This window comes from Homo sapiens, chromosome 7, assembly GCF_000001405.40.
Source record: "Homo sapiens chromosome 7, GRCh38.p14 Primary Assembly".
Classification (NCBI taxonomy): domain Eukaryota; kingdom Metazoa; phylum Chordata; class Mammalia; order Primates; family Hominidae; genus Homo; species Homo sapiens.
The window spans coordinates 152,134,803-152,147,411 of NC_000007.14; the positions used below are offsets into that span (position 1 = coordinate 152,134,803).

At 41.6% G+C, this 12,609-nt stretch overlaps 1 protein-coding gene across 1 annotated transcript in view; it reads right to left on the bottom strand.

Moving 5' to 3' along the window:
- KMT2C (lysine methyltransferase 2C) overlaps nt 123-12,609 on the bottom strand; it is a 301,079-nt gene continuing 288,592 nt past the window's right edge. The window contains exons 53-59 of the mRNA NM_170606.3: nt 11,797-11,933; nt 10,351-10,493; nt 9,911-10,079; nt 4,873-4,989; nt 4,384-4,457; nt 3,994-4,102; nt 123-2,122 (exon numbers count right to left, since the gene is read on the bottom strand). Coding sequence (NP_733751.2) covers nt 2,030-2,122; nt 3,994-4,102; nt 4,384-4,457; nt 4,873-4,989; nt 9,911-10,079; nt 10,351-10,493; nt 11,797-11,933 — 842 coding nt within the window. The 3' untranslated portion in view covers nt 123-2,029. The remainder of the gene's footprint in view (nt 2,123-3,993; nt 4,103-4,383; nt 4,458-4,872; nt 4,990-9,910; nt 10,080-10,350; nt 10,494-11,796; nt 11,934-12,609) is intronic.

Consider the following 12,609-nt stretch of genomic DNA (forward strand, 5'->3'; position numbering starts at 1 on the left):
TTGATCGCATCAACACTCTAATTGTGAAAGATCTATCAGATGGTCAGTGAACTTCAGACAATCCTCAATTTAAGAGCTCAAATTTGAATATGAGGAGTTAACACAGAAGCTCTAGGCAGCTCTTATAGATGTAAAATATTTTATTTGTAAATGGTGATCTTCTAAATCTGTGTCCACAAATTCCAAAACCCATAACACTCTGTATACTTCAAAAAATTCAATTTTTGCCAACATTAGATACTATTATACAGAACAGAAAACAACAAAAACCCGGTAGGACAAATACTGGTAGGATGTCAGGATATTGTACAAGAGAAGAAAAATATTCAGGAAACAAATTTCATACAGCTATTTATCAAGAGAAAAATATATACAATTGATTTATTCTGTAAGATAAAAATACATCATGCCATATACAAGTTCAGAACTGCATCACTGAATATACCAACAGTTTACAGTCCACTTGAATTGTGCACACAAAACTTCATTTTATACTTAGCCTGTGAAGTGTCAGTACCAGAATTTTAAGTACAAAATAAAAAGCTAACCTGGTTCAAAATGCTGATTAAGTTTCTACAAGCAAACACAAAACAGTGTTTTTTTTATTAAAGAAATGTAAACAAACAGTTCATACAAACACATTTTAAAATTACATCTTCCAAAAACCCTATTGCCAGAGTCCTGCAGCTGTAAGCATAATCACATCTCCTTTTTTTTTTTAACTTTTTCAAATTTTTGTGTTAAATAGAAGGCTAAAGGGTTAGATTTAAGTTTCTGCTACATGATCCTATTACGTTTACATGATTCTCTGTGGCTGAAACAAAGTTCTAATCAAAACTACTTTTGCTGAAGAAAAAATTCAGCCTCCATTTGGGTGTATTTTTAAGCAGTTATTCACAGTTATCACAAATTGTAAGCACAAAAAAACCTGACTGAAGAAGTAGGGATGCAACAATATAATATGAAAAAATTAGTTTAAATTACCAAAACAGCTATAAAAGTTGTAGTCGTAGCATACGCCCCGCTCTGTCAGAAGTAAGGTGTATAAAACCATTGAGTACTAATAGACTGCGGTTTCCAAAAAACCCCCAACACTCTAGGTTGAAATTTTGGTTATTACATAATTATAATGGCATATTTTATAACACAAAATTATATTGTAACATCCCTATGAACATTTTATAAGCCCCCGAGCTGCTGCAGAGCCTGGTAGCATTTGGTCAATAACTATTTTTATACTGTATTTTTTCTCAAAATATTTACATATCTGTACAAAGTAACAGGGTTTGTTAGTTCTGCAGGTAACAGCAGCAGCTTGGCTTTCTTCTAACTTTATTTAAAAATAGCTTCATTCACTTATTCAATAATAAATACAAAAGTTTCTCTTATTTTACAGAAATCAAAAACTACAATAAACTGACTCATGGAATCAAGTATTTAAATGTATTTAGTGCAAGTTATTATCCCTTAGCTCTATCCCTAAGGAAGTCATTTCAGTACATTCCTTGTTCAGTGGTGTCTACTTTATTTAAAAACATTTTGAAGTTAGAGGGCCTGCCCCTTTTTAATAAGGCCGTGGCCAGCACTCTCTGTCCCCCTCGCTGGTGATTTCAGTCTTACATTCATAGGAAGGCCCCTGCCCGGGGCAGGGCAGCCATCGGCTCTTTGCCCCAGTAAAAGTTTCTCCTTAGTGAGACTAGAAAACCAAAACAATGAAACCCACCCACAAGGGAAAAACAAAACAAAAAACAAACAAAAAAAAAAGAAAAGGAAAAGAAAAAAAAGCAAAAGTGCTGGACCATTCTGTGATTCCGTTTAACCTCGGCCACTTCAGGAACGCTGCTTCTGTCAGCTTCCTCCTGGCGCTGCTTTAACCTAAAGGACTGAGGAAATCAGAACTCCCAGAAGCTTTTTCAAAAAGTCATAAAACAGAAAACAAAAATCTCTTTCTGTCTGCAAAATTCCAATGGTGTGTTGAATCGCCTCTTCCTAGGGACAAGCCGCCCGCTGAGCTAGCAAGGAATGCATTTCAGTTCATCCACTTCCGGCAGTTCACAGCTCCACAGTGACACGGAATCTTGTGCTGGTCATCTTCAAAGTCAAACTTATAGTCATAGCAGAGCTGCCCACGGCAAAGACACAGGGTAAGAAAGGACAGCAAGGAAGGCAATAGCGTTTCTGCCTCCATCTCCCTTGCATTTTAAAACCAGCAAACGAAACAGACGTAAATTAAGGAAGACCTGATTTATTGAGGTTCCATGGGACCCTGGGGGAACCCTGAAAAGAGGCATTGTGCTTGCACAGAGGAAATGAGGGAGGCAGTATTTTTAAACAGCGAGATCTGAGAACGGGAGCCTGACCAGAGAAAGCTGTATTTCTGTGACTTCTCATAATGCTGTCCCTGCAAGTGGATGGAGGGGACTGGAAGGGCAACTGCTTTCCTAGCCCTCTCCCTAAAACCCAGAAGCCTTTCACCTCCCCTGATTTACTGAATGGGGCATGCAATTCTGGGTGAGATGAACTGCCAGCTAACTCTGTTTTCCCTCCTTCATTTTTCCTCACTCAAGACTGAAAGGATGTCTTTCTATTTAGAGGTCACCAAATTAACATCTCAGACCAATCAAGGTAGGTGGGAGTCTGCGTGAGTCCCACGGTACAAGCCTCAGTGCGCGGCCCTGCAACCCCCACCACCCCAGAGAGAGCCGATGCTGCAAAATGAAGGGGAGGCCCAGGAATTTCTAGGTCTCTTCTGAGTGAAATGATTCTAGACGCTAGCTGGAAAGACCTTCTACACAGAAAGGAAGGAAACCAGTGTTTATTGAGCAGCTGTTCTTGGCAATGATTCCACTGCTTTCTTTCAGGTATCTGCTGAGTCCTTCCAAGAGCCTGGTAAGGAAGTCATTTTCTCTATCTTGCAGAAGATAAAATAGGGGCTCATATTAAACTATTTACTCAAGAATACTCAAGTAGGAAGGAGGCAGGTGGCCCTGGGCTGAGTCTCTTCTGACCACCATGGTAGCCATTGGTTACTGGCACTGTGCCAGGGCTCCCACACACTGTCTTATTTACACGTTACTTTGAGATGTATAACGGGCCTTGGGTCTAGTCGGATCCTTATTCTTGACTAAGAAAGGAGATTCCACAAAGACCCAAAATACAGATAGAATCCCACGAATCCCATGGCTATGTTCACGAAGGGAGAGGAGCACCAACAAAGTCAAGTCACTCAGGTGCCTCACTCCCCAAATGCGGGACGTTTCCTACAGAAACCAAGCCTGCTGCTCAGTGACAGCTTTCCAGGAAATGCCAATTCCAGAACCAAGGTACCTGAATCACAGTGGGAAAGACCAAGGTGGGAAGCAAATGCAGCAATTAAGGCCAAAAATAATCCCAATGGGTGAGCCGCCGGACCAGAGTCACCTCTGAGAGCACGGAGACAAACAGCAAGCTTGGCACTCGGCATTTTGAAGACAACAACCCACACCTGAACTGCTGAAGAATGTGGCGATGTGGGCACTTGGTTAAGCACACACTGATCGCCAGCGTGAGCACACAATCCTCAGCAGCACGGCGGCCCAGATTTGCCGCCCACAGCCCAACAGTGCCATCTCAGGAGCCACGGCCCCCTTGGAGAAGGACGGGGATGCTCTTCAGAGGGGACACTGCCAAACTGTGTCCAGGTTAAGGGGATAAAGAAGGATCCTATGGCACACAGAAATGATACCACCTGGGTGCCATGGGGATGCTGAACCCGTGGCACAGAAGGGAAGGGAGAGGTGACAGCAAATGCTCACAGAGCTGCCATGTGGAGGAAGGTGAACTGGAGTGCCTGAAGGGTGAGATACTGCAGGGTGGGAACATCTGGCCTATTATGGACAGAGTTTTTATCACAACAAAGAATTGGGAAACAAGTGAGTAAGTGACCTGTGTGAGGAGGGAACTATTCGCCCAGGATCTGAACAACATGGCAGATGCAATCTCTCACACTCTTACCTCTTCTCCTTTCTGGATTCTCCGACTGGAGCTGATGATAATTTTGTGTCCTCTCTCAAAAGTCACCACTTCAGCCACACAATTAGGTGCACACGAATGGTTGATATACCTGCAAGCCACCATGTCAGAAAACTGTATTGTAAAACAGCTAGAAGCAGCTTTAAAAACTTCCCATTTATTGATAAAGCAGTTTTTGCTAATTAAATTTCTATTTGCCCATTGTTAGAAGCACAAATATAACATTTAAATAAAAATTCTCAACTCATTTGCTCTGAATGTTTAGTCACCGCCAGGCTGCCGTGAGAGCCTTTCCCTTGGCTTCAGTGTTCTCTCCACCAGCACTGGCCCCACAAGCAAAAGCACTCCCCGTCAGGTTCCTCGCTGTCTCACCTTGCGGGCCCTCCTGTGAGCGTCGCGTCAATCACATGGTCGTTATCCATGCGGAACATGTACACACCACGGTTCTGAGGGAAAAGTCAGTCAGTAAGTCATCAATGTCGACCTGAAACTCCCCTCTGTGTTCCTATCCACACCAGGAGGACTCAGTCGAAACTGAACGGAACGGCAGCCTGATCATCCTTACTGTGGATATTCTATTAGGCACAGATGACATTTACATGGCACGAATGGAAAGCATGGAATCAGTAGGTTGTGTGTGAAGCCAGGCTCATTAATTTACAGTTGTCTATCAAAGTAAACTGTAACACCAATTGAAAGAGATACAACTGATAAAAATACACTAATATACAGATATGGCTTTTGTTTAAAGCTGAATGCAGCATGACAGATTTCATTCTGCCTTCCAGGGTGTCTGGCTGGCACGGAGAAAGGGAGAGGATGATGGTGCTGTGTATACAATCTCGGGGACCAGACACCTACCTGAGACTCATAAAGCTTCTCTTTCCTGTTGGCTACTTCGTTTCGAATGATAGTCCCGATGTACTCAATGACCATGGTGTGTTTCTCAATGTCTCGAGCAGCATACAGGCCCAGCCCCTAAAAAAAAGTGTGTACATACTTCCAATTTATGTGACAACAAGTCTTTTTTCTGTTTTTCATACAAAGGTTTCACCCTCGGGTCTTATTAGAAGCCATACTTAAGTTTCACTTGAACTCAAATCATTTTTGAATATGCTATTTTCTGAAATTTTAAAAATTGGACATTTTTACTACTTAAAACTATGCCATCACTAGCTTATTCCTACATCTTTTTTAGCACTAAATTCTTAGAGTCTATGTATAAAGTAGTACTGTGGCTTGGCTGTCTTATGTATTAGGCTATCTAACCTTCCAGATGAGATAGCTGAGTTCCCACCAACTAAATAAGCTTATTGACTTGTGGTGTTTATTTTACCCCAATACTATTTCAAAAAAGACATAATAAATTCAATAACATAGAAATCAGGCTAACTATAACCAATCACTGATACTGTAAACAGGGTTCAGACTTGGCTCTGAGTTTCCCAGCAGCCAGGGCAAAGAGCAGACACAGGAAACGTCACTCTGCTGTAAATATCAGGAATGTTGGAAACAAATGAAGCTCTTGGGGAAGGTAAATTTTTCACTAATACAAAATTCTGAGGCTGGGAAAGAAGTTTGAACGGGCTGAAATGGAAGCAGCTCTCACTGCGCAGCTTGTACTCCCGTGCTGGTGGCCTGCCAGGTGCACTATTCAGGTTGGTAGCACAACTTGTAGAGAAACATACTAACAAAATATGGGTCTTTGCCATAAATAGTTGTATTTTCTTGTCCCAATTTTGGGTTTTTGCACTTAATTCTGACTAGAAGGCAACTGAATGCAAAAGTACTAGACTAGATGCAACTGAATCAGAAGTACTAGACTAGAATGCAATTCTAGAATTGAACTGAATTCTAGAATGCAGAAATCAACTGCATTCTAGTCGGAATTACTAGGAGGACCATGTGCTGCCCCAGCTGCATCCTCATGAAGCACATCCGGGAGCACATGGTGGGAAGGGCCATGTGAGAGACTTTAGTATGTGAACTGATTTATCCTCTGAACAAGCATCTTTGATTATCTGTTCTACTCCAGATACAACTCACAAGTGAATGAACCAGAACACACAAAAAGTATGTATGGAGATCAATAGAGTGTGGTTTAAGAATAAACAAGATCAGTGGAAATGAAGAGATTCCAAATGGGCCAGGCGTGGTGACTCATGCCTATAATCCCACCACTTTGGGAAGCCAAGGCAGGCAGATCCCTTGAGGTCAGGAGTTCAAGACCAGCCTGGCCAACATGGTGAAACCCCGTCTCTACTAAAAATACAAAAATTAGCTGGGCATGGTGGCGTGTGCCTGTAATTCCAGCTACTAGGGAGGCTGAGCCAAGAGAATTGCTTGAGCCCCAGAGGCAGAGGTTGCAGTGAGCTGAGATCATGCCACTGCACTCCAGCCTGGGCAACAGAGTGAGACTCCAGAGGCTGAGGCATGAGAATCGCTTTAATCTGGGAGCCAAGATGGCACCACTGCACTCCAGTCTGGGTGACAGAGTGAGACTCCATCTCAGAAAAGAGAAATAGATCCCTGCATGTATGAAAATCTAACGTACAGTAGTAACTGGTATTAAAATTCAGTTTATAGTCAAGATTTCGTGGGGTTAGAAGAAAAAGGCCAGGTGCGGTGGCTCACACCTGTAATACCAGCACTTTGGGAGGCAGAGGTGGGCGGGTCACAAGGTCAGGAGTTTGAGGACCAGCCTGGCCAATATGGTGAAATCCCATCTCTACTTAAAAAAAAAAAAAAAATTAGCCGGGCATGGTAGTACACACCTGTAGTCCCAGTTACTTGGGAGGCTGAGGCAGAAGAATCGCTTGAACCTGGGAGGCAGAGGTTGCAGTGAGCCGAGATCGTGCCACTGCACTCCAGCCTGGGTGACAGAGGAAGACTCTGTCTCAAAAAAAAAAAAAAAAAAAATTCATGCCAGCCACGGGGGCTCATGCCTGTAATCCCAGCACTTTGGGAGGCCGAGGCAGGTGAATTGCTTGAGTTCAGAAGTTCAAGACCAGCCTGGACAACATGGCAAAACCTCATCTCTAAATAAATATTTTTAAAAATTAGCCAAGTATTGTGGCATGCGCCTGTAGCCCTGGCTACTCAGGAGGCTGAGGTAAGAGGATCGCTTGAGCCCAGGAGATCGAAGCTGCAGTGAGCTGAGATTGTGCCACCGCACTCCAGCCTGGGCGACACAGTGAGACCCTGTCTCAAAGAAGAAGAAAGAAAATCAGTTAAAAATGAGTGGGTTACTTCTAAATGGCCCTTCAACAACTGGTTATCCAATGGAAGAAAGCGAAATTGTATTTTAAAAATGTTATGCAAGAAAACCTCTAGAATCCGTATATAATCTAGGGTCTTGACCAAGACTAGATGCAACAGAAAATTATGTATGTTTGTTTATATAAACAGTAACTTTTACAAGAAAAAAGATGTCACACTTGCTGGTAGGCAAAGGATATTTTGTAGGGGAAAATTCTGAATAGTGTAAACTGCTAAAAATTGAAAAATGGACAAAGGATATGAATACGCAATTCCTATGAAAGCAAATCCAAATGGCGGACATGAAAAGCTGCCTATTCAATTAAGGTAACATCAGTCTATATTTATCAGACCAACTAAACAAAAAAATAGTAACACCAGCTACAAATGGGAAACAAGAAAACAGTCTCACATGCTGCAGGAAGAAGTGTGCAGTAAGAGACTTTTTAGAAAACTGGCAATATCTATTTAAATGAAAAGTACACACGCTTTTACACAGAAACCTCACGTTTGGGAATATACCCCATAGGAGTGAAACTATTAATTCATTGTGATATTTGTACAAGATATAGCAACACTGTTTGTTATGAGAAAAATTATAAATCAAATACACACTCATCAGTAATGCAATGGTTTAACTGCAGTTCATCAACACTATGGAACATCAGGTAACCATTCAAAAGAATGAAATGAAGCTACGTCAGTTGATCGAGAGGGACCTCTGATTATTACAGAGAAAAGGAAGACGGAGAAAAATAAATATAACATGATTCCATTTTTATATATGTACATAAAAGTGTATATAGTTCTAAGATATTAGCACAGAAAAACAGGATACATATTAGATCATCCACGGGATCCCCAGGGAGGTGGACAGATGGGAGGGTGGCAGGATGAAATAAGTAAAGAGACAGAAACCAGAGCTCTCAAAAATGCTTCAGGTTAAAGGTGACAGGTTGAACACAGTTAAGATACCCACTAAAATCACAGTAAAAGCACACTCCTCGAGAACACGAATGGGTATAAGAGTGAATGGACTATTTAAAATGAAAAGTAATTGACTTAGCAGGGGAAAGCTAGAACTGGAAGGAGTAGAGGCAAAGCACTAATTCACCCACAGAATCCGAGAGAGGCTCAACAGAGAGGGGCAACAGCAGAGAAAACACAGATACTCCACTCATAATGTAAAAACAAAATATCAAACAAGATCAAGAGCAGAAAGGGCTCGTAGCTAATCTCTAAAAATAGACAAGAAAGATTAGCAGATAAAGTAGAGGAAGTCTCAGAAAGAACAGAGAGACAAGGAAACAAAGAACAGAAGGGGAGAAAGGATATAAGACAGAAATTACTCTCTGACATGCATGAGAATCATCCAGGAGGCCCCACCTCCAGAGCTGGATTCAGTGAGGCTGGGCTGGGGCCCCCGAACCTGCACATCCTAACAAGCTCCCAGGTGACACTGCTGCTTCTAGTCTCAGGTCCACACTGTGAGATCCTGAATCTCAGGGGTTTTAGTGCAAACACAGAGGAAACAGAGGGGCAGAACTTGCAAAAGAATGAATACAAAACACATTTCTCAGACGGAAGGTCACGATGCTCCAGGTTGAAAGGGCTCATCAAGGGAGGAAAGCAATCAACAAAAAGACCTCCACTGAGGTGTAGTTCTGTGAAATGTCCAAATATCAATAAAGAGAAGATCCTACAAACTTCTAGTGAGGAGTAAAAGGGTTCCAACAAAGGAACAAGAATCTGAATGAGTATAGACAAAGGAACGCTGATCCAGTTTATAGGGTAAAGATACTTTGCTGGCTGCTGAGAGGGAACTGGATGGGAGGAGACAGCCAGGCCTGCAGTGGTACAGGCAAGTGATATGTGGCTCAAGATAGGGCTGGTAAACCTAAGAGTGGATCTGAGAGAATTTTTAGGAGAAAACAGAACTCGATGATGCTTTAGGTTTAATCTGGCAGTACTGAGGCCAATGTACACAAACGGTAACATCACTCAGCAAGGAGCTTGTAGGATGGCGGGGTTTAGGAGCTGGACAAGTTTGACAAAGTAAGAGCTTTGTAATTCCATTCTGAGACATCCAAGGAGAAAAATGCTGAACAGGCATTTGGATATTTGGGTCTGCAGCTCAGGAAGTATGGACTATAGGTGTAAACTTAAATGCTTAGCCTATACACGGCCTTACTTGTAAGATAGTCCACAGTCTACCAAAAAACATGCACTGATTTCATGAAACGGTAGCTTCCAAAAGATAAGGTAACTTCCAAAATTGGTGTACCTTTGGAAAATATTTTCATTTGTATTTCTCTCAAGTGCTTGAAACAGCTCTACTGAGCACTCCACAAATCCAGTGTGTGCAAATTACAATGCTACCTGCCTCCCAGGAGCTCTCAACAAGATGCAAAGATGTGGATTCCACTGGTCTGCTTTCCCTTTGGGGAAGCCAATCACCAAGTCCCAAGACTACATATTAAATCCCTAGTGTTACCAAGGGACAGGATTTGATACGATTTTGAAAACACGTTTCTGTCCCTGCAGCTATGTGAAATCATTTTCACATACTGGACATCAATAGCTTCAGATTGCTAGACTCCACCCTGTCTCTCCACTTCCTGTACACAAAGTATTTCTTCACCTGAATCCGAGACCGTGCCAGATACACATTGGATTTCCATTCAGTTTTCATCTTCCGGTACTGCGATGACTTGGAGTGAACAAACTGTTTACTATAAGGTGCGTTCAGTTCTCCAGTGACTGTGCTCTGAAATGACTTTGAGGTGCTGGTGCTGTTTAAGGTGTGAGGCCTGCAGACAATGGCATATCAACAGGAAAAAAATACAAGGAAAACTGAAGATACCTCTGAGTAATGCCCAAAACCAGGTTAATTCAGATTCTTACTGACAGAAACATACATGGAAAGCTGCCTAGCAGAGACACACGGCGAGTTCTCTTATGTAGTTGGGCACATACACAGCCAGACAGCAGGGTTTGTAAGCAGCAGACAAATCAAGCACAGGAAACCACTAATACGCCTAGAAACCCTGGGCTGTACTATGTGAAGTTAAAACAAAATACCTTAACACAAACCTCTTGACATGGGCACTCATTTTAGGTTCAGAACGGGCACAACCTGTGGGGTTAACGGCAAGAGGAAGTTCCATGAGAGGATTTCGGCCGTATCGGAAGGTATAATTTTCACATGCCTCAACCCCAGGAAGCTGAAAAGAAGCAAAGCAGACACAAAGTCACCCCATCTGATGGAGACTACAGACAATCTCAAGCTGGTCAAAGGATGGCCCACGACAGAAATAACTCATCAGCGTTTTCCCCGATAATAAAATGGTCTTCTAGCTTATGTTAACACTATTGGCCTGCAGGTAGATCTACTTAAATATGAGTATGCAAATTCAGTTTCAAAGCCAAACTTAGGTAAACCCTGCCAAATGCTCCTTGAAGAAAAAGATTAGCCCATGCAACAAACACTGGCTGACCAATATACACGCTTGTGTGATTTCAGGGCCTGACTGAAACACACAATACCCACAAACACAGGGCATGTAATGATTCGCATTGAGTTCTTTCCCCTGTATTAATGCCAACTTTTATATCTCTGTCTGGAATTTTACAATTAAAAACAGTTAAAAAATCATCTATATGGTTTCTTTCTTGATCGTTTCTCACTCCTTTCAATTTGACTCTGATGTGATGAGGTTATCGCTCTCCATGTCCTGGGAGCATAAAGCATAGGTGTTAACTCAAGCTTTACTCAAAGTCATTTACATGTTAAAGGTCTTTTCTGGAATACATTGCTTGTGAAATTTATTTCTCTGTAGTCATAAAAGATAAGTATCATTTAGGCAGGGCGATTCCAAAGAAAACAATTAGGCACATTACTCAGTGGCTTTTGGGGTTTCCTCTGCCTGTCCAAAGAAAACACACCAATGATATTTTTATTCTTGAAAACAATGCCTTAGAATCATACAATTTTCTAAAACTATTGTGTAGATATGGTTCAGTTAGACTCACTGACAAACAGGCTTGTAATCTTTTAAGCAAAGAAATGTCAAGAGAGGACAGAAATCAGTGCTGCTGCGATCTACTGCCCTCTAGTGACTTCATCCTAGGAAGAGGGCAGGAGAGTGGCCATAAATACCCAAGTGTCAGGAAATGGGCACACTGACATTCTGAGGTGGGAGAAACTTCAGAAAGGCAAGGGAAGAGGAGAGTGTCCTCACCCATCCAGCACACCCAGAAGATGTGACAAGCCTGGTGTCCTTCACCCCTGCTTGCCTCCAGCCTGGAAGAGAACCTGAAGTTGGTTAACTACCTCAACTGGGTGAATACCAACACGGCTGAGCTCTCCCGATTAATCACCAATGCCTTATTCCTCTAAGAGAAACGGGTTAATGCACAGGCTCAGTCACTTTCTGAAGAGTGCCACAAATGTTACAGCATGTGTTCAAGTGGTCACACTGAATCAGGAAAGCAATTCCAATCTCAAAGCCTGACCAAGACACTCACTGATTCCGCTATGCGTGCCACTGCAGAGACGGTCAGGCCAAACAGATCCTCTCCTTTTAAATACGCTGGGAAAAGCTGGAGCATTTCAGACTTTTTTCTCACACATGCCACAGGCTCCAAAATCTTATCCCAGACACCTACACAGGGACAAAAACATAATTTTTATAGGAAATAGGATACAGTATAAAAAACAAGAGCAAAATGAAGAATAACCACTCACAAGGATTTACTAATTTCCAAATAAATCCTGTTGGGCAATAATCTAATAAATCTGTTTGGTAATAATCTAATGAACCTGTTTATTAAATGGCAGCAATTTTTTTTAAAGACCTAAATTTTGGGGAAAATAATAGATTAAGGACATTAAAGTGAAAAAACTTAATGTAACTGAAATTCATGCAAACAGTTCATTTACTTTCATAGTGGCCATATAACATACCAGATTTTAAAATGATTAGTCTAATTGGTAATGTCTATAGCTATGTTCCTTTCCCCTCAGATTTAAATTAAAATGTTAAATTGATATTTTCTTTGGAATTATCTTTAGAGTATTTTCAGACTTTTTTTTTTTAAGTGCTAAACTTAAGAAAGCAGCTCCACATACTTTTGTTTGTGTACTTTCTACATAAGCAAAAGTGACAATCTAGACTTAACCATGGAGGTCCAAACTAAGTGTTTAATTTCCATCTCTAAACTTACGTAATATCTGATGTTCCTATACATTGTCTTATGACAATGTATACAGTATGATTTAGATGTCATTCCTGCCTTCTAGAAACTGACTTTAAGAAAAAGGGGGTCCCTGCCAGGTAC